This window comes from Homo sapiens, chromosome 8 (assembly GCF_000001405.40).
Source record: "Homo sapiens chromosome 8, GRCh38.p14 Primary Assembly".
Lineage (NCBI taxonomy): Eukaryota > Metazoa > Chordata > Mammalia > Primates > Hominidae > Homo > Homo sapiens.
In genome coordinates this window covers 98,757,560-98,783,049 of record NC_000008.11, presented here as the reverse complement: position 1 = coordinate 98,783,049, position 25,490 = coordinate 98,757,560, and the positions used below count along the sequence as shown (strand labels likewise).

The 25,490-nt window shown below is 38.0% G+C and overlaps 1 protein-coding gene and 1 pseudogene across 21 annotated transcripts in view, besides 1 other annotated feature; one reads left to right on the top strand and one right to left on the bottom strand.

The window, feature by feature from the left end:
- Positions 1–25,490, top strand: part of STK3 (serine/threonine kinase 3) — a 598,636-nt gene that overhangs the window by 159,561 nt on the left and 413,585 nt on the right. For all 21 annotated transcript variants that reach the window (XR_007060753.1, XR_007060752.1, XR_007060754.1 and 18 more), the window contains 2 exons: positions 8,231–8,311; positions 15,679–15,807. Coding sequence is in view for 17 of the 21 variants with exons in the window: in XM_047422133.1 (XP_047278089.1) it covers positions 8,231–8,311; positions 15,679–15,807 (210 nt within the window). In the remaining 4 variants the exon portion in view is untranslated. The remainder of the gene's footprint in view (positions 1–8,230; positions 8,312–15,678; positions 15,808–25,490) is intronic.
- On the bottom strand, positions 340–1,038 carry RPL19P14 (ribosomal protein L19 pseudogene 14; annotated as a pseudogene).
- Positions 14,075–14,369: an enhancer, noted in NCBI's record as "tiled region #12470; K562 Activating DNase matched - State 5:Enh". NCBI's record gives its function as "activates a minimal TATA promoter and a strong SV40 promoter by Sharpr-MPRA in K562 cells {active_cell/tissue: K562}" and the evidence as "EXISTENCE:reporter gene assay evidence [ECO:0000049][PMID:27701403]".

Sequence of the window (25,490 nt, the reverse complement as noted above, 5' to 3'; positions counted from 1 at the left end):
GGTTCTCTCTCTCTCTCTCTCTCTCCCTCTCCTTCTTTCTCTCTTTGTGTGTTTTATCTTTTCAAATTTGTTGAATTTGATGCATCTGTGTGGGTTTATGGTTTACATAAAATTTGGAAAATGTTTCTCCTTATTTCCCTCCTTCCTTTCCTTACTTTTCTTTCCTTACTTCCCATCCCATTTGTTTCTTTTTCATGTGGGACTCAGGCTTTTTGTTTCTTCCTTTATTTAAATAACACTTTTTCCTTTTCAAATGATTTCATCTTTTGTGCTGCACTGTCTAATCTCCTTTTAATCTTATTCAACAAAATTTATATTTCAGATTTTTTTTTTTTTTTAGCAGATAAAGGCTTGTTTTATTTTAATGATTGATCTGTATAATCACCAAGACCACTATGTACAGACAAGAGAAGGGGAGCTTTATTTCCTCGTCTCTTCCTCCTTGGACAAAGTCTTGATGCTCTCTTCCTTCTTGGCCTGGAGGCGCTCTTCATGGTACTTGCATGCTTCCTTGGTCTTAGACCAGCAGGCCTCTGCCTGGTCAGCCAGGAGCATCTTGTGGGTCTGTGTGCCTTCAGCAGGTGGATGTGTTCCATGAGAATCCACCTGTTTTTGAACACACTCCCCTTTACCTTCAGGTACAGGCTGTGATACATGTGGCGATCAGTCTTTTTAGATTCACAGTATCTTTGAGCAGCTGATGCAGAATTCCTATTCTCCTCACCCAGGTTACCTTCTCTGGCATTTGAGTATTGGCTGTACCCTTTTTGTTTACCTATGACCATGTACCTGCCCTTCTGGCAGGCCAAGGTGCTTTTTTGGCAGTGAGCCCAGGAACGGACAGTCGCAGGCTTATGGATAATCAGCCCATCTTTGATCAGCTTCTGGATCTGCTGACAGGAGTTGGCATGGCCAATTTCATTGGTCTCATTGGTGTCCAGCCAGATCTTCTTTTTGCCACAGCGGAGGACACTAGAGGCAAGCCTCTTCTGAAGCATTGAAAATACTCACAGCGTCTGCTGCAGCAACGAAAGCAAATATTTTATTTTTTATCTCTTAAATTTCCATTTATCTTTCCCCCTACCTTCCATTTCCTTTAACATCTGTGAGTATGTGAAAGTATATTCATAAGAGGTTTTCTTAAGATTTTTATCAATTTCACCACCTCGTTTCTGGGTCTGTTTTATTGGCTAATTTTTCTCTTTATGAGTTATAGTTCCTGATTACTCATAGGTTTAATAATTTTTTTTTTTATTTTTTTGACATTGTTAATTTTACATTTGTGAATGTTGAATTTTGCTTTGCTTAAGAAGTTACAGACTCGTTCTGGTAGGCAGTTAAGCAAGTTGTCTTGTGGTTTGGCTTGATGCTTTTGAGGTTAGTTTTTAAGCTCCTCTAGGGAGAATCTGGAATATCCTTTATCTTTTGGTAATATAATCTCCTTTCTAAAATAATGCTGTTCTGAGTTCTTTTCTGAATGACCTTTGTATTCGTGGAGTTCTTTCAACTCTGGATAGTGGGAAAGATTCCCTGCCTTGTGATATTTTGTGATAAATTGCCTTGTCTGGGAATTTTGCTTTTTATTCCTCCCTGGTCATTTTTTTTCGCCTTAAGAAACTGGTTTTGCTGGGCTTTGAGGAGTGTTTTGTAAGCATGCACAGATTGGCATTTCATGGAAACCTCTAGATAGATTGCTGAACCTTTTCCCTGCATAGCTCCCTTCTCCCGATACTCTGTAATGGAATTTCCATTTGCCTTGATTCCTCACCAAACTCTAAGCTCTATTTCTTCAACTCAGCAAAATTACTTGGTTCTCTTTGAGTTCTTCTTTTCCTGTGCTACAGTCTGACATAGTCTCTAGATCTAAAGCCTGGGCGATGGCAGGGCTCATCTTATTTCTTCTCCTTCTCTTGGGGACCTCAGTATATCCAGTTCTGGAATGCCTGATAGCCAGCATCTGAAAATAGTTTCTTACATTTTGTTGAGTTTTGTAGCTATTTGCAGCTGACAGATAATTCTGCTTCCTGTCATAAACCTGGTGGCTAGAAGTGGAAGTTCTACAATGGATACTTAAACTTTCAAGCTGCTTGCACTTTTGGTAGCTTTTGATGTAGCCAAATATTACCTTCTTGTGCTTCATGACCTCATTTCTTAAATATTGGTGTTTCCTTGATATGTGTTTTGTGTTTGACTCTTATTTTTTCTTAGACATTTTCTTGATGATTTTGTCTCTTCTGAAAGCTTTAAGCAATGTGCTGATGACACCAAAAATTATATTTCTAGTTCAAATCTCTCCTGAGATTTGTAAATCCAGTTGCTTACCGGAAATCTACTTTTAGATGACTAGAATTGAGCCCATCTTGTTCCCCTCCAGACTGTTTTTTTTTTCCCCTGTGTTTCTTACCTTAGTAAATGGCATTACCATCCACTCATTTGCAAAAATAAAATAATGACATTTTTTATATGGCAAAAAATCAAATAGACTGCAAAACTAAAAGCTTATAAGTGAAGTCAAAATCCAAATGAAAATGTTTATAATCTCGAAAAAAGGGCTAGTTTCCTTTGTATACACATAAGAAAAGGACCGAAAACCCAGTGGAAAAATGAGCAAAGAACAAGTAGGTGATTTAGCTTCTTAATCATATGAAAAGATGGTCAACTTCACTCATAATAATACAAGTTAAGTCTACACTGAGCTAATAAGTTTTCATCACAGATTGGCTAAAATCCAAATAATTTCATTAAATACCCTATTGATGGAACTGTGGGAAAGAAGGGCTCTCATATATTACTTGTTGGAGAATAAATTAGTACAAACTCTATGGAGGACAACTTGCTGAAATCAGTGTATATGTATATATATTTATATAACATATAATTATAATAGGTAAAATATACCATAATGTAATCAATAATTTTAATAATTACCATATAGTTATGACAATAGTGATCTTATGTTATACTACATTATTAAAATTATATTATTACATGATTATATACTTATTTGTCAGCATATCTACTTTTATATTTATGTGTGTGTGAATGTGTCTGTATTCTCAGTTTCATTTCTGGGAATTTATTCCACATATATACTAGCACATGACTTATTCATTCATTGACTTATATATAAGTTTATATATATTCATTCATTCATTCATTCATTCATTCATTCATTGACTTATATATAAGGTTACTCAGTGCAGCATTGTTTATCATATCAAAAGAGAACCTGGATGTCCATAAGCAAAAGACTGGGCAAGTAAGATATGCTATATCTCTGTAATTGAATAGGATGCAGCTGTAAAAAAGAACATTGATGCTTTATTCAGGTTGAGAATCCCTTATCTGAGATGCTTGGGACCATAAATGTTTCAGATTTCTGAATTTTGTTTTGTTTTGTTTTTTGGAGTATTTGCATATACATAATGAGATATTTTGGGGCTGGGACCCAAGGCCAAACATGAAATTTTTGTATCTACCTTATACACATAGCCTGTAGGTAATGTTATACAATATTTTAAGTAATTTTCTGCATGAAACAAAGTTTGCATACATTGAACCATCAGAAAGGAAAGGTGTCACTATCTCAGCCACCCATGTGGACAGTCTGTGGAGTTGTTTGGCATCACCTTCATTTCTGACTCTGAATTTACATGCTACTGATAAGCAATCATTTTCTTATACTTGCTCATGCATAAGTACTTAACTGCAAAAAATATGGCATAACATTAATACAGTGGAAAAAAAATATGTTCAGGGTAATGAAGCAGCACAGTGGCATTACCAGAATACCTCTATCAGCTTTTAAACAACAGGAACAACAAACAACGGCAGGCTTTTAGTTTTCACCTATGATGCTGATTTTTGATTGAAAGGTTACTATTATACACTGTGTGGTTTTTTTTTTAGTTGAGAAGAAACATCAGAAGCAGCTGAGGGGCCAGGAAATAGGTCTGCTAGGGATAAGGAAACATTCTGCTGGATGGCTTTTTTATTTTATTTTATTTTATTTTATTATTATTATACTTTAAGTTTTAGGGTACATGTGCACAATGTGCAGGTTTGTTACATATGTATACATGTGCCATGTTGGTGTGCTGCACCCATTAACTCGTCATTTAGCATTAGGTATATCTCCTAATGCTATCCCTGCCCGCTCCACCCACCCCACAACCGTCCCCGGTGTGCGATGTTCCCCTTCCTGTGTCCATGTGTTCTCATCGTTCAATTCCCACCTATGAGTGAGAACATGCGGTGTTTGGTTTTTTGTCCTTGTGATAGTTTGCTCAGAATGATGGTTTCCAGCTTCATCCATGTCCCTACAAAGGACATGAACTCATCATTTTTTATGGCTGCATAGTATTCCATGGTGTATATGTACCACATTTTCTTAATCCAGTCTATCATTGTTGGACATTTGGGTTGGTTCCAAGTCTTTGCTATTGTGAATAGTGCCGCAATAAACATACGTGTGCATGTGTCTTTATAGCAGCATGATTTATAATCCTTTGGGTATATACCCAGTAATGGGATGGCTGGGTCAAACGGTATTTCTAGTTCTAGATCCCTGAGGAATCGCCACACTGTCTTCCACAATGGTTGAACTAGTTTACAGTCCCACCAACAGTGTAAAAGTGTTCCTATTTCTCCACATCCTCTCCAGCACCTGTTGTTTCCTGACTTTTTAATGATTGCCATTCTAACTGGTGTGAGATGGTATCTCATTGTGGTTTTGATTTGCATTTCTCTGATGGTCAGTGATGATGAGCATGTTTTCATGTGTCTTTTGGCTGCATAAATGTCTTCTTTTGAGAAGTGTGTGTTCATATCCTTTGCCCACTTTTTGATGGGGTTGTTTGTTTTTTTCTTGTAAATTTGTTTGAGTTCATCGTAGATTCTGGATATTAGCCCTTTGTCAGATGAGTAGATTGCAAAAATTTTCTCCCATTCTGTAGGTTGCCTGTTCACTCTGATGGTAGTTTCTTTTGCTGTGCAGAAGCTCTTTAGTTTAATTAGATCCCATTTGTCAATTTTGGCTTTCGTTGCCATTGCTTTTAGTGTTTTAGACATGAAGTCCTTACCCATGCCTATGTCCTGAATGGTATTGCCTAGGTTTTCTTCTAGGGTTTTTCTGGTTTTAGGTCTAACATGTAAATCTTTAATCCATCTTGAATTAATTTTTGTATAAGGTGTAAGGAAGGGATCCAGTTTCAGCTTTCTACATATGGCTAGCCAGTTTTCCCAGCACCATTTATTAAATAGGGAATCCTTTCCCCATTGCTTGGATGGCTTTTTAAAATGTTTCCTCGAGAATCGTCTGCCTCATTAACAGTGGCTTTTGTCTTAGAAGTCTCTCTTTGATGTTATAAAGTGACGTGATTTCCTATTCTGTTAAGAATGCACTCTAGTCCTAAAATAAGCCCATCACACCATGTTGTCTTCCGGCACTTTTTCTGCAATGTTAACATCATCTTCATTGTCATTACTACTACCATAACCTTGATTCAGAACCATTTCTGCTATTTCTTTTTTCTTTTTTTGAGATAGGGTCTAACTCTGCCACCCAGGCTGGAGTGCAGTGGCGTGATCTCGGCTCACTGCAACCTCCATCTCCCAGGCTCAGTCTCCCAAGTAGCTGGGACCACAGGCATGTGCCATCATGCCCACCAAACGTTTTGTATTTTTTAATAGAGACAGGGTTCCGCCGTTTGCCCGGGCTGGTCTCGAACTCCTGAGCTCAAAGGATACGCCTACCTCGGCCTCCCAAAGTGCTGGAATACAGGCGTGAGCCACCGTGCCCAGCCCATTTCTGCTATTTTACCATTGGTCAATGAATGAGCAACTGGAGACTCATTATCAATGTTAAAAACTTATTTGATATCCATTTCTTCCAACTTACTGACAGACTCTGAAGGTATTTTTTTGTATATGTAAGGAAGTCAAACACCTTTTTATTTTTATTTATTTATTTTTAAAATTTTTAATTAATTTTTTTTTTTTGAGACGGAGTCTTGCTCTGTCGCCCAGGCTGGAGTGCAGCGGCGCGATCTCGGCTCACGGCAAGCTCCGCCTCCTGGGTTCACGCCATTCTCCTGCCTCAGCCTCGCAAGTAGCTGGGACTACAGGTACCCGCCACCATGCCTGGCTTATTTTTCGTATTTTTAGTAGAGACGGGGTTTCACCGTGTTAGCCAGGATGGTCTCGGTCTCCTGACCTCGTGATCCACCGCCTCGGCCTTCCAAAGTGCTGGGATTACAGGCGTGAGCCACCGCTCCTGGCCTATTTTTTTTTTTTTTTATCTTGACATACAGAATCCTTCAAAGTCATTGCCTTGTTCATCATCGTTACTGAACATAGTTGCAAGCTAGAGATTGTGCCAGGTATGCACAACTGTGTCTTTAGATACTGTGTTCCAGTCATCGACAATAGCATATACAGCATTCTAAATGCTGAACTGCTTTTGAAAACCTTCCACGCTCATATTTCTGTTCACTGCTGCAAGTAGGCTGTTCAAGAAAGTGTTTTTATTTTTATTCTTTATTGATCTGAGGATACCCTGCTCACTTGCTGAATTAATGAAGTCACATTTGGGGAAAAGTACATGGAATAAACATTATATTTAATGAGATTTTTCAGCTGGAGGATGAGCAGAACAGTTGTCAAGGAATAACAAAATCTTGTAGCCATCATCCAGTCCAGCTTCCCTGCAGCAAACCTGAACCACTGCTACAAAATGTTTGTGAAACCAATCAGAAAAGATGTCCCTAGTGACCCATGCCTTTTTGTTAGTCTAATAATGAACCCAATCTTTCCCACACAGCAGGTTTACACTTAGTGTGCCTTCTGCATTAGCACCTCCCAGGACAGTTACTCTGTCCATGGCATTCTTATCCTGTAGGGGCTGTAGTCAGAGTCTTTCTGGGGAACTAACACTAAACTGTGATGTTTCATCAGCATTATAGACTTGTTCTGGTGTCAGATTTTCATCAGTGATGGCCTTGGCAGACTTGTCAATGAATTTTTCTGCTTCTTCATGATCAGCAGTTGCTTTATTCACCACAAATCTTTGAAAAATTAATGTGTCTTTTCTTAAATTTCTGCAATCAGCCTGTTGAATATTCATAGTTCCCTTCAATTTTCAGTTCATCATGATATATCTTTGCTTGTTTCATGAGCACCATACCATTAAGTAGTATGTTTTCTCTGCCGTGCTGACAGATTTACTCTTTCAGTACACATTTGAGATCTTCATTTGGTTTTCTGCAATTAAGAAAAATTTTTCATTAACTTCTGTTCATTGACACTTCAGCATAGAACTTCAACAATTTATCCTTCTGTTTCTTCAGGTTGTATATGGTGGTCATTCCAACACCATGCTCTTTTGTAAGACATTTCCCATACTGCTTTCCAGTTTATCCAGCAGCTTGACTTTTTGGCTAGAGATAAGCATAAATGCTTCCTCTTTTTCTGTCACTTACTCAGATTTTCAACATTGTCTTTATCCAACAAAGCAGAGAATAAGCAAAAAAACCCACAGTGAGTAATGCACAGTCTTGGCTCCGTGTGGGGCATCGTGGGGAACCTATCATTGGTGCGTCTGGCGTGTACCTGTGCCATTTTATTACCCTTCTTTGGATGTGCTTGGGTGGGAGAATCTGTGCATGCATGGAAAAGATATGTCAGAGCTGAAGGGGGCTGGGGAGGATCTTTTTTCCTTAAATTGTGTTATGTGCTTACAGTTTGACTGTGACTCATTACATGAGGTCAGGTGTGGCATTTTCCATTGTGGGTATCATGTTGGTGCTCAAAAAATTTCAGATCTTGGAGCATTTTGGATTTCAGATTTTTGGATTATGGATGATTAACCTGTATGGAAAGATCTCTAACATAGTTTTGTCAAGAGAAAACAGTAGACAACATGACAATATTTATACAGAAGGGTGTGTATATGCTTCTTATATATTCAAAGGGGAGGAATTAAGAATATGTATTCATATTTATATAAAGGTTTCACAAAAAACTAATAAAAGTGATTATTTTTGGAGGTGTTGCTGGGCACATGAGGAACAGGGCTTGAAAGGAGAATGTTTACTATGTATGTTTTTATATTGTTTGAGTCTTCTGAATATATTAAAATAAAATTAAAAACTTGGTAAAATTTTAAAAATTAAAAATTTTGTAAAAGGTCTTTAAAGAAAATATTTTCTTTCTTCTTTCTTTTTTAAATCAGTAAACTAAAAAAGCTGAGTGAAGACAGTTTGACTAAGCAGCCTGAAGAAGTTTTTGATGTATTAGAGAAGCTTGGAGAAGGGTAAGTACAAAAAGTATGAAAGCATGTAAATAATTTCAGAACAATTTAAAAAATATTATATGATGTTAATCTTTCAACTAGAGTATATTCGTATGAATTGAATAGTATTTAATAGTAATTAAACTTGGCAGGTGATACTGAATTTTAAAGATTAGTTTGTGCTAAATCTGGTAATAGTGTTTTTTCAGAGAAAGTAGGCCATATATATATATAAGGGAAAAGCAAGAAATGTGCTGTGAAATGATGTTTAAGAGTTTTGTTAGTTCATCCCTTACGGCATTCTTATTAATACGTTTGAAGGTTTTGACTTTGTTAGGCAAGTGACCATAAGGCCATCCTTTTAGATCTTGAGGCTCATTTTATTTTGGAAAAGGTAAGTAGTCTTTGTCTTGATATGACAAGAATATCTTAGTGAGGGAAACAGTTTATATAGGCAGAAGAATAGTTGACATGATTTCAAAATAACAGTAGAGAAACGTGCCGGTTTGAGCAGAGAGAAAGGTAGGGAGCATTTAATGGAATGGCAAAGTATAGGAGAATTTCCAAAATAATAAAGGTACAAAACAGAATTAAAAGAAGCTTATAGATCAGCAAGAACAAGGACAAGGAAATAGAGAAAATGAAAAGGTAAAATAATAAGCTAGGCCGGTCGCGGTGGCTCACGCCTGTAATTCCAGCACTTTGGGAGGCTGAGGTGGGTGGATCACTTGAGGTCGGAAGTTCAAGACCAGCTTGACCAACATGGAGAAACCCCATGTCTACTAAAAATACTAAATTAGCTGGGCGTGGTAGCGGGTGCCTGTAATCCCAGCTATTCGGGAAGCTGAGGCAGGAGAATCGCTTGAACCCGGAAGGTGAAGGTTGTGGTGAGCTGAGATCACGCCATTGCACTCTAGCCTGGACAACACAAGCGAAGCTCCGTCTCAAAAAATAAATAAATAAATAAATAAATAAATAAAAAATAAAAATAAGCTGAACATGATGGAAGGAATAAAATCAAGTGTACTTTTCAGTAAATGTTAATTTTCCCATTAAAAGACAAACTGTTAGAGTAAATGAACATGCGAAATCTACCTATATTCTGTTTATAGGAGATGCAAGTAAAACAAATAATGGAAATATAAGGCTATTTATTTATTATTAATAGAGATGGGATCTTGCTATGTTACCCAGGCTGGTCTTCAACTCCTGGCCTCAAGTGATCCTCCTTCCTTGGCCTCCCAAATTGTTAGGATTATAGGTGTGGGCCACTGTGCATAGCCTATAAGGATATTTCTTATAAAAATATTATAGATAAACATACAAATAAAAAAACAGAAAGTAATAGTAGCAATATTTATATTAGATACATTAAAGTTTAAAAGGTTTCAACTAAATAAAGAGATATATTAGGTAGCAATATCAAGGACAATTTATAACAAAACATGTCAGACAACATGGCAGCTAAATTTATGACAGAAAAGCTATTAGTGATGTCAGAGGCATCTAATAAAAGTATAATTGCATGGGAGATTTCAATGTATCTCTTTTAGAATTGGACAGATATAATAGAAAAAAGAGAAAGGACATAGAGGGATTAAACATTATGATGAATACACTTGATTTTATAGAAATGTAAATATATATAAAGTAAAAATATATAAAGTACCTGTATGTCTATATAACTATGCATATATATTCTTGCAGACCTGCTTTTCTGGTGTATGTTCAAAGGACCATTGATAAAAGAAAAGTTACAAATTCTAAAAAATAAGAGATTTTTACAGGTCACATTTTCTGATTGTATTAAGCTGTTCTTGTGTTGTTATAAGAAAAATACCTTAGGCTGGGTAATTTATAAAGAAAAATTTAATTGGCTCACGGTTCTGCAGACACTGCAAAAAGCACGGTGCCGGCATCCGCTTCTGGTGAGGGCTTCAGGAAGGTTATAGTCATGGAAGAAGGCAAAGGGGGAGCAGATGTCTCACATGGTGAGAGCAGGAGCAAGATAGGGCAGGGGAGGTGCCACGCAGTTTTATTTTTTTTTATTTTAAAATTTTTTTGAGACAGAGTTTCACTCTCGTCATCCAGCCTGGAGTGCAATGGCGTGATCGTGGCTCACTGCATCCTTCTCCCGGGTTCAAGGGATTCTGTTGCCTCAACCTCCCGAGTAGCTGGGATTACAGGTGCCTGCCACCACGCCCAGCTAATTTTCATATTTTTAGTAGAGATGAGGTTTCACAATGTTGGCCAGGCTGGTCTTGAACTCCTGACCTCAGGTGATCTTCCCACCTCGGCCTCCCAAAGTGTTGGGATGACAGGCACGAGCCACTGCACCCGGCCTGCCACACCGCTTTAAATAAGCACATCCTGTGAAAACTCACCATCTCAAGGACAGCACCAAGCCATGAGGAAACTGCCCCTGTGACCCAAACGTCTCCTAACAGGTTCCATCTCCAACATTAGGGATTACATTTCAAAATGAGATTTGGAGAAGACAAATATGCAAACCATATCACTGATTATACTCACTAAATTAGAAATAAGTAATTATAATATGACAAAATCCACACCAACTAGAAATTAGGAAACATAATCTGAAGTAACCCATTGATTGAAGAGGATATTATAAATTATAAAACAATGAAAAGGAGAACACATTGTGCCAGTATCTATGGAATATAGCAAAACTAATTAAAAGTTTTAGTTCTAAATTCTTTCATTAGACTAACAAAGAAAGGCAAAAAATAAACTTAGTGCTTACTTAAAGAACTTAGAAAAATTATGAAACATACCAAAAGAAACTGAAGATTGAATTAAAGAAAAAGCTGAAATTAATGAGATAGAAAAAAAATTAGAAATGATAAATATGGGCCAGGTGCAGTGGCTTACACGCTGTAATCCCAGCATTTTGGGAGGCCGAGGTGGGTGGATCACTTGAGGTCAGGAGTTCGAGACCAGCTTGACCAATATGGTGAAACCATATTGTCATTTAGTAGAGTAGCCATCTCTACTAAAAATACAAAAATTAGCCGGGCGTGGTGGCATGTGCCTGTAATCCCAGCTACTTGGAAGGCTGAGACAGGAGAATTGCTTGAACCCAGGAGGCGGAGGTTGCAGTGAGCCGAGATTGTGCCATTGCACTCTGGCCTGGGTGACACAGCATGACTCTGTCTCAAAAAAAAAAAGATACGTATATGTTTGTATATATAAAAGCTTTTGAAGAGATCAGTAAAATAATTAAACCTCTTACAATGTTGACTAAAGAAAATAGAAAATACAGAAGATTTGGAATAAGAAGGAAGATATAGCCAGTGATAGAGAAATGATTAAATAACTGTTAATTATAAAGGTACCAACTCATAGCATATTATTTACAATAGCCAAAATGTGGAAACAACTCAAATGTCCATCTGCTATCCCAGGTGAATAAACAAAACGTGATATGTCTGTACAGTGACCTTTTAGCCATAAAAAGTAGTGAAGTACTGGTACATTTTACAGTGTAGTTGGACCTACAAAATATTATGCTAAGTGAAGGAAGAAGCCAGATATAAAAGGTCACATATTGTATGATTTCATTTATATGAAGTATCTAGAATAGATAAATCTGTAGAGACAGAAAGCAGATTCTATATATTTTGGAACTACATACAGATAATGGTTGTACAGCATTGTGAATGCACTAAATGCCATTGAATCATACACTTTAAAACAGTGAATTTTATGTTGTGTGTATTTCACCTCCTCCCCTCCAGAAAGGTTCCACTGTATTAAACACTGTTTTATACAGTGTTTAAAGGACAGTTAATTATAGTTTTTTTTTAAATGAAGCTAGTGTAACTTTAATATCAAGACCTAAATGTACAATAAAAGAAAACTGTAATTCAGCCTTGCTTTGTTACTCATTATGGTAACTGTTCCCACTTTGTCTCAGGTGAATAGCTGTTGCCACTTCTCTTGTGCTGGGATCCTGTTATCTATTAAACTCAAGGAGCCAGTTTCACTGTTGGCATATTTGTCATCTTTCCCCTGCACTAATAGAGCTTTGGTCGATGCTGGTATCCTCTGGACCCTTTTTGTCAACATAGTTAGGGAGTATGTGAGCATGGCACTTATAATATATATCCATTCTAGTATCCCATTTCCTTGAGCCTTTGATATGCTTCCTTTGGTGTGTACTGAGGCTCACTTAGCATCTCACTTAATATGGGCCACTTTTGAGTCCAGGTTTCAGTTAACTGGCTGAGCAACTGTTAGGGACACCCCCAACTGTTTGAGCTAACATGCTGAGTCTGGAATTTCTGGTCTTGCATCCATATCAGTACATTTCTTCCTCTCTGGAAATCTTAGAATTTGTTCTCACACATATTCTTTAGGGTTCTGATAAAAATTGGCAAAATCTTGCAACTTTTTTAGTGTGAATAGTAGCTGCTTGGGTTAAATTTTATACTTGTCTCCCTGGTGTCTATGGGAGTTGAGTATAACTTTGGGTCTGGAAGCAATAAGTGGTGGTGGAGTGGTCTGGAGGACCACTGCATGCTGCTGAAAAGTGACTGCCTCAGGAGGTAGATAGAGTCTTCAGGCATTGTAAGGTTAATTTTCTCAGACAGGAGGGCAGAGTTGCTTTTGGTATCAAGGGAGGCTTGATAGGATTTGGGGATTCAAGGTACTCAGATTAATGAGAATCTATCTAAATGTCCTAATACCAGTTCTCTAGGTACTTCTCTTTATTGTTAGATACCTTAACTTTAACATAACAGACCTGGTGCTGATGTGAATTCAACTTGAAATGTAATTCAACTTCCAGTAAGACTATACCTAGAGTTTGTTTTTCAGAAATCTCAACCCTGTTTCTGTAAGAATTAAGAAATTCAGAAGTTTTCTGGTTCTCTCAGTCTTGAGCTGGACATTTAAGCCTTTAGCTTGCTGTGTTTGTTCTATAACTTTTCCAGTGCAGGCAGAGGCAGCAGCCCATTCTATAGTCCTTATACTTTATTTTCACCATACATTGTATTGATACAGCTACTTGGTCTTTTAAAGCTTTGCTTAGACTCCAGGCAACTAAGGGTGATAATTTAAATAACTGTTTGCCACTGAATGCCATAGACCATCAGTATACTATTTGTTACTTGTATTGAAGTCATTACTGTCTACACATCTGTATTAGTCTGTTTTCACACTGTTGGTAAAGACATACCTGGGACTGGGCAATTTACGAAAGAAAGAGGTTTAATTGACTTATAGTTCCACGTGGGTAGGGAGGCCTCACAATCATGGTGGAAGGCAAGGAAGATCAGGTCACATCGTACATGGATGGCAGCGGGCAAAGAGAGAGCTTGTGCAGACAAACTCCCATTTTTAAAACCATCAGATCTTGTGAGACCCATTCACTATCATGAGAACAGCATGGGAAAGACCTGCCCCCATGATTCAGTCATCTCCCACTGAGTCCCTACCACAACAGGTGGGAATTATGGGAGCTACAAGATGAGATTCGGGTGGGACATAGCCAAACCATATCAACATCTAAGAAAGAACTAATTCAAGATTCTCATCTTTAAGATTCTTTCCCTTGGAAACACTTCTTCTACCAAAAACTATATTGCTATCAAGGAAAAGATAAGCTACTGTATGTACTCTATAGATATGAAGAATTTAGTAATGAAGTTAGGAGCTCAAATGAATTGTGGAGGGGCCAGGGATGCAAAGTTCATGAAAACTGTTGCCAAAGGTTGAAGGTCGAAGTCAGCATTGAAGATCTCAGCCTGAAGCACTGAAGTGGGTGTTTCTCAAAAGCTCTCTGGGAATCTGCTGGAATCCTGCAGTCTTGAGAAACTCCCACCAACTACCTCAGTCTGCAGCAGTGGTGGCTGTTGGAAGCTCAGCAGGAAGCTGCTGTGCACTTCATATCTGTCAGTCCATCTGCTACAACTGTATCTGGAGAAAAATGGTTTCTCCTTTCGTCATTCACACATACGTGTTTTTCTCACTGGCAGACTTTTAATGAGGAACCATTCAGGGAAGGGGATTCTGGGAAGTGGGGATTGCAGCTTCTCTTTCGTAGTGCTGAGGAGTCCTTAGAAAGGAGTGATGGTGTTGCCTAATTGACAGTAGATGATCTAGCACTGAATTCTATGTTAGCTTTTGAGGGAATATACACACATACACACATATGGCTTTCAAGGGGAGATACACACACATACATTCCCCCACACCCAGCCCAATGTGACTTTGGGTACCAAACCAAATTAAATGACTTCAGAGAGCCCAAAGAAACAGAGGAGAGGATAAAATGTATTTTATTGAAGTAGCCGCGTTATCACTTATTTGTCTCTTTTTCACTTATTTTAAAAGATTATAAATTTGGAAGGGCTTCTGCATAGATTTCTAATATTAGGAAACATTCGATGTTTTCCATTGGCTTGCTCTTGTTTCTCTTCTGTAGAAAAATATGGTGAGAAAAACCTGATTTTTGGGGTGGGAATGTGTTTGAATTCTGGCCCTACTGGTCTGTTTCTCATCTTTTAATGACGATAATAGTGTTTTTCCTTATGATTGTGAGGGTTGAATTTCATAATGCATGTAAAACACCTAGCATAGGACCTGGTTTATAGTAAGAACTCAGTACATAGTAGTGTTTAACCTCGTTTTTAAGTTCATACTAAGGTACAAATGGCTTCTTCCTTCTTTGTTTTTGCTTTTTAAAACACGTGAATATTCAGTTGGCAAAGTTTCAGGAGTTGTAGCAGAGACAGGTTTTGGGCAAGTGACTATTAGACCCTGTTCCTCATTTTATTTACCTGTGAGTTTGTAGTTTTTCTCTTGAGGAAAAGGTAATGAAAGGAACTTTTTAAAAAGAGACCTTGGATCTGTAAATCAGGTAGAAGCAGATGGCTGCAGATTCCTTGCTTCTCTAACTTTGATGTTAATATGGTCCCCAGCTGAGGGTTTTAACTGTTAAGGTACTCTGAACAGAAGTGTGACTTTTTGATATTCTGGGGGTCATTTTCCTTGAGATCAGCCTTTTCTCCTAATTTGAGGCTTTGGCTATTTTTAATCTACATTTCATTCTTTTAATTTCCATTTATATCTTCTTAATGCTGCATTTGTTTGAGTTGACCAAACGCAAGTCTGTTTCTTTCATTCATAAGAAAAATAGCTACTCATTATATGTTAACTTGACTATTTTAAGTCTGTAGTTGAAGCAATAAAGCTAAGATATAATTCATTACCTTTTAAAATTGTTACTTGTTTACTTTGATTTTTTAATCATTTAAATAGTGTTTTAAACTAGAAAAGACTATCCACAGAAAACTCATAGTAGACTTTTAATCTTATAGTTACGATGTTTGATAGGAAAAAAATAATGTCTTGGTTTCTTTTAGGTCTTATGGAAGTGTATTTAAAGCAATACACAAGGAATCCGGTCAAGTTGTCGCAATTAAACAAGTACCTGTTGAATCAGATCTTCAGGAAATAATCAAAGAAATTTCCATAATGCAGCAATGTGACAGGTATGAAGAGATTTTATTTCTTTGCTTACCCTTGTTTTGACGAGTTTTGCTAATAAAATATAACAAAATTTATTCTTTGATCATCTGTTTAGTTTTCATTTCTTTTTCTTTTCTTTTTTTTGAGACAGGGTTTTGCCGTTGTTGCCCAGGCTGGAGTGCAATGGCGCCATCTCGGCTCACCACAACCTCCGCTTTCTGGGTTCAAGCGATTCTCCTGCCTCAGCCCCCTGAGTATCTGGGATTACAGTCATGTGCCACCATGCCTGGCTAATTTTGTATTTTTAGTAGAGATGGGTTTCTCCATGTTGGTCAGGCTGATCTCGAACTCCTGACCTCAGGTGATCCACCCGCCTTGGCCTCCCAAAGTGCTGGGATTACAGGCGTGAGCTACCATGCCTGGCCTAGTTTTCATTTCTGACTTCCCATTGGAAGTGAGATTAATCCTTTAAGGCAGATGAGGATGGCTTTGTCAAGTGTCTTTAGGACTTACAGCTCTTTGCAGCTTTTCTGCTTAAAAGCAGAAATGAGGCTGGATGTGGTAGATCACGCCTGTAATCTCAACCCTTAGAGAGGCCAGAGCATCGAGGGTAAAGGAGCCCAGGAGTTCAAGGCCAGTCTGAGCAACATAGTGAGACCCTTTCTCTACCAAAAAAGAAAAAATTATCCAGGTGGTAGCTTGGACTTGTAGTTCTAGCTACTTGGGAAGCTGAGGCGGGAGGATTGTTTGAGCCCAGGAGTTCAGGGCCACAGTTAGCTATGATTGCAGCACTGCACTATAGCCTGGACTTTTTTAGGACAAATTTATGGATGAGAATGAGTTTTTGATGTTAAAGGGGTCATTTAACAGTCTGTATTATGTAATCACTTTTACTAATTAAGAAGTCATGTTTTATGTAAATCTAATTCATTCAACATTCACTGAGCATCCCCAGTTGACCCGGTACTGTGCCAGGATCTAAGAATGCCAAAAGAACTAAGATACTTTTTTCTTTTTGAGGGGTCAGTAGTGTAGTTGGGAAGACAAATATATAAATAAATAGCTGTAATATAGCACACTCATTGTAGTGACTGGTGCATGGGGTAATGTGAAAAGAAGAAGGCAGGGCATCTTCCTCAGCCAGTGGAGCCAGGAAATCTGGAATGCTGACGAAGAGTTAATTGGGTGAAGAAATGGAGTGATAAGGGAGAGTCAAGGGGATGACAGGTAGAAAGGTAAAAACAACTCATTGGGGTGTGCTCATCTGACAAGATTTAGAATTATTGGAATGGAAAGTATGGGACAGAGAACAGAATGAAATGAGGTTGGATAGTTAAATGGAGCTGATGGTGAGAAGCATCTTATGCAATGTGAAGTAGCCTAGGCTTTATTCTATAAGGGATTCAGAGTATATAAATTATGACTATGTTTAGCCTAAAGTTACTTAACCACAGAGGGATTTATTATTCTCCCTTAACAAAAAGTCTGCTAGTACAGCAGCAACAAAGGAACAGCCATGTCTCAGTCTTCTTTTCTTGTACTCTCTCATCGTTAGCATGTGCTTTGTCCTCATGCTTATTATCTCATGGCTACAACAGGGCTGCTACAGCCCCAGCTTTATGTCTACATTCCAGGCAGGAGGAAGAAAAGAAGAAGCAGGGAAGGGGCTTTCCCAGAAACCTTCAACTTCAGTCTTATTTGTAAAAATTGTCTCGTGTGACTTAGAGCTGGTGACACAGGGTAGTCTGGGCACATTGTCTCCCCTTATCAATTCAGGGCCCTGTAATTAGAGATTTATGGAAAGCTTTCACTCCTAACAATACATAGGATCTATAGATTGTAAGCTTTTTGGCTAATGAAGTGATTGCATAATCCTAGAGGAACTTTGCTGCTTGGATCTGTTCAATTTTGCTTTTCTTTAGAATATGCTGTATATTTAAATTATGTTACATATTTCCCATAGCATGTGAAATTCAAGTGGTTATAGGAAAAAAAAAGATACATTCCTCAACTGTGGTTCCCACAATTTGATATAGAATAAGAGATGAGATAGCATAGTGCTCGGCCACCAGGTATGCTTTATACTTGCCTGATGCGAGTATTATTTTGTTATTATGGTTAAAAATAGTTCAAGGATTAGCATTGTACTTTGAGTGTTGTCTAGGAAAGTCAGGGTCTCAAATATTACTATTACATATCTCTTCCCTCAAATCTTGTTCAGATTTCTGCAACAGCATCTTATTTGTTCACTTTGTTTGCCTCCTCCAACCCATTATCTTCCTTGAAGCTAGAGCGTTCTTTCCAAAATGCAAATGTAATCAAGCATTCCCTGTTTAAAACCCATGGTTCCCCATTGCCTCGAGAAATCCAGTCTCCTAAGAGTGGCATACAAGGTCCTTCATGTTCCATCTAGTGCTTACACCTCCAGTCTCTTACCTGAGTTTCTCTTTTAAGTGCCTGTTTACTTGTATTCTCTATCATCTAAGTCTTAAGTTCCTTGAGTTCGGGGATTGTATTTTACTCAGTGTCCTTGGATCCTGCCACATAATGGTTACTCAGATACTAATGAGTACTTCTATTTAATAATTTCTGTTTGGGCAACTCAACTAGACTATCCAGAGGGAATTACACATTTAACATTCTAAAACCAGTTTTAAACATTCCAGACAAGCCTTTCAAATTCCTGTGTATCAAAGGCATCATCATCTACTTAGTCTTTTAGCAAGGCTGAGAATCATCTTTATTCCTTTTTATGATACTTCAGATGATACTGAGTCTTGTAGATTTTCCTTCTGAAATGTCATCACTATCTTTATTCTTCTCTTCATTCCTTAAGGAAAGGAACCATATATTTTTCTTTATTAGCACCTGTTCAGCGCCTAGCAGTATACTTTTTGATGAATGAATGAAAGGGTGTGGTATGTATGAGGAGTACAAGGAAGAGCATTACAGATTGAGGGAACCCCAGGGAAATCAGGTACTTATTCTTGTTATGCACTTTAAGCTTTTAAAGGGAAAGAAAAGTAAAGAATACAATGAGAAGGAAATGTTATAGAATTCTAGAACTTTTGTACCACTTTATAGCAGAATGCCTTGCACATAGTAGGTACTTCTCAAATATTTGTTGAATGAAATAAATGCTGAGGCAAATATTGATGAAAAATGGTTTCTGCCTTTTAAGATTTTACTGTCAAATTCATATTGTAAGTATGAAGTTGCGAAGGATCAAAAAATTAGTTGGTTAAAAGATCCTAAAATGCTAAAAGATAGGACTAGTAAAAAATAAATTAGGGCCGGGCATGGTGGCTCACGCCTGTAATCTCAGCACTTTGGGAGGCGGAGGTGGGTGGATCATCTGAGGTCAGGAGTTCAACACCAGCCTGGCCAACATGGCAAAACTCCATTTCTACTAAATAGATATAAAAATTAGCTGGACGTGGTGGCAGGTGACTGTAATTCTAACTACTTGGGAGGCTGAGGCAGGAGAATCACTTTAACCTGGAAGGCGGAAGGTGCAGTGAGCTGAGATTGTACCACTGAACTCCAGCCTGGGTGACAGAGTGAGACTCTGTCTCAAAAAGAAAAAAAAAAGAAAAAGAAAAACAATTAGGAAATGACAGGGAGAAACTTAGATTTTAGCTACCAATAACTAGTATTAATGTAAATGTGTTATTAAGAAATTAGCATAAAAATGATTGGAAGAAAACAGTATGAATTGAAAAATTCCCAAATAATACACTGAAATTTTGATAGGGAAAATGAGATATGCATTTCTGAAATTTAACTATTTTCTTAATACATTCAGCTATTTGTGAATTTGGTAAATTGTCTTGTTTTCTATACTCTATAAAAGGACCAGAGGTGGTGTTTTAATCTTTTTTTGTTCATTTTAAGTGAATATTTAATAATGGGCTGAATACTACATGTTAGCATAAATATCTCAGGGAGCCCATCTGCTTTGTTTATTGCTGAATGTGCAGTGCCTAGTTCAGTACCAGGTACAGAGTATACATTTAATGAGTATTTATTAAATGGATAAATCATAGAATATTAGTGCTAGATTCAACTTCTGTGGGTCAGCTAGTTTAGTGTTTTCAAATCATACCCTGCTCTAAGAAGGTACTTCTAGGGGCATTTTCTTCACTGAAGAATTGAGTAGAATGAGAACCTCATTATTGCTTTTATCTTTTTTATATATGGGACTCTTTTGAAATTTTTATTTGAGGAAAAGTCTTCTAGTGCTAAAGCATATTTAAAAACAATTTTGCAGATACAGAAAATGAGACCTAGAGCTTTTACATGAATTGCCCAAAATCACACTGCTAGTTAGTGACTGAGATGCAATAAGAACCCACATTTACCCTACTTCAGGGCCAGTGTTGAAGAAAGCAATGCCTGTAAAAAGATTCCAACAGTTCAAAGTGAAGCACTCTCAAGGCATTCCTAGGAGTAGAGGCAACAGCTGGTTAGCAATACTATGTGGCAGGTAATATGTACACAAGGTAATCACAACTGACATAGTCCCTACCCTCCTGGTGCTTATATGCAGAGAAGGAACTTTTCATATCTAAACAAAGATAAATATGTTGTTATGAATCAGGGCACACACTTATCCCCTTTTTACCTGTTCAACTAGTATGTATTGAGTACCACCTACTCCTAAGTGTAGGCCTGATGTGCTCTCACAAGAGATACAACAAAGAATGGGTCTCGGCCGGGTGCCATGGCTCACGCCTGTAATCCCAGCACTTTGGGAGGCTGAGGCGGGTGGATCACAAGGTCAGAAGTTTGAGACCAGCCTGGCAAACATGGTGAAACCCCGTCTCTACTAAAAATACAAAAATTAGCTGAGCGTGGTGGCAGGCACCTGTAATCCCAGCTACTGGGGAGGCTGAGGCAGGAGAATCACTTGAACCCGAGAGGTAGAGGTTGCAGTGAGCCAAGACTGTGCCATTGCACTCCAGTCTGGGTGACAGAGTGAGACTCCATCTCAAAAACAAAACAAAACAAAAAAAAGAAACAAAAAAGAATGGGTTTGAGGCTTTAGAGAGACTTTCACTCAGCTGGAAGAAACAGACGAATGGGTAGGCTGTTTCAGTACACAGTGTGGTAACAGCTGTGATGGGATAGATATGGGGAAGTATGTGGGTTGGAAGAGATATCTAACACCTCATGTTTGGAGGTTCAGGGAAAGTTTTCCCAGGGAGGTCATACCTCAGCTGAGTCCTGATTGATGAGTTAGATTTGCTGGGCAAAGAGAAGAGATAACTCTTATGGTGAAATAGAGCATTTTCAGCTGGCCTGTTCAGGGTGTCACTGAGCACCCCTTGGCTTCTACCAGAGTATTCTACATTCTTACCTGTTCTATTTCCTCATGTTTCTAGATAAGATTCCATTTGAACACTGTTTCTGAGGCAAATAAATAAATAAATAAATAAATAAAAAATCAAAAGTTTCAAAATCACCATGTTGGAGGATTATTGATGAACTTTGGCAATTTGTATCAGCAATTTGAACTTTGGCAATTTGTATATTCAGTTTTGGGTGGGCCAAGAAATAAATTGCTGTGTGATTGAGATTTATGCTGGAAACAGCTCAGTTTTAATAGAATATCCACATTGCCTTTGTAAAAACACTGTATTACCATACTAAGTTATAGAACACTACTAAGATTATAGTAAGATGTTGATGAAAATGATGTAATTAAAAATAGCCATTTCTTTAGTATTTTAATTATCACATGCTCATATTAGGAAGACTTTTAAAAAGTATACCTTTAGCTATATATGGTTTTCTTCAATTAGAATGAAATTCAAGTTACTATTTAAAAAGTCACCTTTTGATTGTATGTGGTGGCTCATGCCTATAATCCTTGCACTTTGGGAGGCCGAGGTGGGCAGATTGCTTGAACTCAGGAGTTCAAGACCAGCCTGAACAACATGGCAAAACTCTCTCTCTAAAAAAAATACAAAAATTCACCAGGCATGGTGGCACGTGCCTGTAGTCCCAGCTACTTGGGAGGCTGAGGTTGGGAGGATTGCTTGAGCCCAGGAAGCAGAGGTTACAATGACCTGAGATCATGCCACTGCACTCCAGCCTGGGTGATAGAGCCAGACCCTGTCTCAAAAAAAAAAAAAAAGAAAAAGTCACCTTTCAAGCAGTATTTTCAAATAGTATTCCATTTTCTTTATTTAATTATATGATGTTGTTGATGGACACTTAGATTGATTCCATATTTTGGGTGTTATGAATAGAACATTTGGATTTTTATAAGAAGCTTAAACGTAATGATTCAGTCCGTATAATTTGTATCATGCATAGTGTTTAAGTAAGGTACAATTAGATAGGAGTATGTAGTCCTTTTTCCATTTTTCCCCTTTGGTTTTTCTCATTTTTTTTTAATACTCTTTCTATTTTGAGTTGTGATACTAGAGGAGGACCATTAGGATAAAGAGTGTAGGGAGCTGTAAAGTGAAGATGGAAATGGAAAGGATGTGATCATTAGGTATGAGATGAGAGGAAGCCCAGAAGCCCCCCACCCCCTCAAAAAAAAGAAAACGAGAACAAGATACGTCATTTTATTGGATTGAAGGCGTTAAATAGGGGAAGGAAAAAATTAATGAGACAGGAGGATGAAATGGAGAGAAGATGCATAAGAGAAAGGCATAGAATGTGGCTCATGATTGGCATGCTAGTTATTAAGGCATCATATTTCACCTCTGCTTCCTGGTGTAGTCTGTAATTTCCTTTGTGTTTTCCTGGTTCTTCCACCCAGTGAAATTTTCAAAGACATAGCTGCTTACTCCTCTTTAAAAGAGACAAAACTAGCCAGGCACAGTGGCTCACGCCTGTAATTCCAGTGCTTTGGGAGGCCAAAGCAGGAGGGTCACTTGAAGCCAGGAATTTGAGAGCAGCCTGGATAACGTAGTGAGACCCTGTCTGTACAAAAAATAAAAAAAATTAGTCCGGGTGTGTGCATGTTTATAGTTGCGGTTACTTGGGAAGCTGAGGTGGAAGGATCACTTGAGCCCAAGAGTTTGAAGCTACAGTGAGCTATGATTGTGCCACTGCACTCTAGCGTGGGTGACAGAGTGATACCCTGTCTCTTAAAAAATAAAAATAAAAAATGTAACAAAACTACAGTTAGCCCTCTGTATCCTGCTTGTTCTGCATCCACAGATTCAGCTAACTGCATGTTGGAAATATTGGGAGAAAAAAAGCAATAGAAAAAAACAATAAAAAAAAAAACCAATGCAGTATAACAATTATTTGGATAGCATTTACATTGTATTAGGTGTAATAAGTAATCTAGACATGATTTAAAGTATACTGGAGGATGTATGTAGTTATATGCAAATACTGTGCCATTTAATATAAGGAACTTGTGCATTCATGGATTTTGGTATCTGTGGGGTTCCTGGAACCAGTTCGCCATGGATATTGAGGGATGACTGTGTATAGAATTGCTGGGTTCTGATACAACCTGCAAGTCCATATACTGGCTTAGTCAAAATTCTTAGGCATATGGCTGAATTAAAACTTTCTGCATTGCTTAAAATTTATATACAGGTATACCTTACTCTGTTGTACTTCTTCACTTTGCAGATGCTGCATTTTTTTTTTTTAATTGAAGGTTTGTGGCAACTGTACTGAGCAAATCAAGTCCGTCAGCACCATTTTTCCAATAGTTTGTGCTTGCTTCATGTCTCTATGTCATGTTTTGGTAATCCTTCCCATATTTCAGACGTTTTCATTATTATTATATCTGTTATGGTGATCTGTGATCAGTGATCTTTGATGTTACTGTTGTAATTGTTTTGAGGTGCCACGAACTGCACCTTTGTAAGATGGTGAACTAAATTGATAAATGTCGTGTGTGTTCTGACTGTCCCACTGCTAGGCCGTGGGCCCCATCTCCCTTCCTTTCCTCAGGCTTTCCTATTCCTTGAGACACAATATTGAAATTAGGCCAATTAGTAATTCTACAATGGTCCGTAAGGGTTCAAGTGAAAGGGAGAGTCACACAACTCTCACTTTAAATAAAAAAGCTAGAAATGATTTAGCTTAGTGAGGAAGACAGGTTGAAAGCCGAAATAAGCTGAAAGCTAGGGTTCTTGTGCCAAACAGCTAGCCAAGCTTGAATGCAAAGGACAGGTTGTTGAAGGAAATTAGAAGTGCTACTCCAGTGAGCACATGAGTGGTAAGAAAGTGGAAGAGCCTCATTGCTGATATGGAGACAGTTTGAGTGGTCTGGATAGAAGTTCAAACCAGCCACAGCATTCTCTTAAGCCAAAGCCTAATCTCGAGCAATGCCCTTACTGTCTTCAATTCTATGAAGGTTGAGAGACGTGAGGAAGCAACAAAAGTTTGAAGCTAGCAGAGGTTGGTTCATGAGGCTTAAACAAAGAAGCTGTCTCCATAACATAAAAGTGCAAGATGAAGCAGCAAGTGCTGAAATAGAAGCTGCAGCAAGTTATCCAGAAGATGTAGCTGAGATAATTGATGAAGGTGGCTACATTAAGCAACAGATTTTCAATGTAGACGAAACAGCCTTCTACTGGAAGGAGATGCCATCTAGGACTTTCCTAGCTAGAGAGAAGTCACTGCTTAGCTTCAAAGGACAGGCTGACTCTCTTGTTAGGGGCTGATGCCTCTCATGACTTTAAGTTGAAGCCAGTGTTCATTGCCCATTCCAAAAATCTTAGGACCCTCAAGAATTTTGCAAAATCTCCTCTGTTTATGTGGCAAATCACATTTATTCATTTGTGTATATTGAACCAACCTTACATCCCAGCAATAAAGCCTACTTGATCGTGGTGGATTAGTTTTTTGATGTACTGCTGCATTTGGTCTGCAGGTCTTTTATTGAGAATTTTTGCATTTATGTCCATCAGAGATATTGGTCTGAAGTTTTCTTTTTCATTTTGTCTCTGCCACATTTTGGTATCAGAATGATGCTGGCCTCGTAGAATGAGTTAGGGAGGAGTCTCTCTTCCTCAGCTTTCTTGCAATAGTTTCAGTAGGATTGGTACCAGCTCATCTTTATACGTTTAGCAAAATTCAGCTATGAATCTGCCTGATCCAAGGTTTCTTTCTGGAAAACAAAAATTTGTGTGACTCACTGTATTGTGATATTTGCTTTATCCAGGTGGTCTGGAATCAAACCTGCAATATCTTATAGATTTGCCTGTATATAACACTAGAGTGTTACAGTGTTTTGAGTGAAACTCTCTCCCCTTCTTCCCTAACCTTTAATAATCAACATGCTGGTTTAAAAACAGATGTTAGAACATCTAAATAATTGTAGTTAGTTAACTTGCTGGCTAGAATGAACAACATCATGTTTGATCCTTGACAATCCTGCTCAGGATAATGTTTAAATGCTAGTTTGATTGTATTATTTCCTTATATAAATTTCTTCAGGGGTTCCCCATTGCCTGGACTGCCCTTTCTTCTTTGTCACTAGTCTAATGTTTTTCCATTTTTCTCCCTAGCTTCTGCTAGTAGGCTTGTTCAGTGAATATTTGTTGTTTGAATTACTTAAAAAAAAAGATAAATAAATGTGAATTTGAATGCATATCTGTGTTAATGGAAATAGACTTGAGTTTAGAAGTCTCAGGTCTTGAACTGTCTGAGCCTATTGGTAGGCTTTTTTTTTTTTTTTTTTCTTTGAGATGGAGTCTCGCCCTGTTGCCCAGGCTGGAAT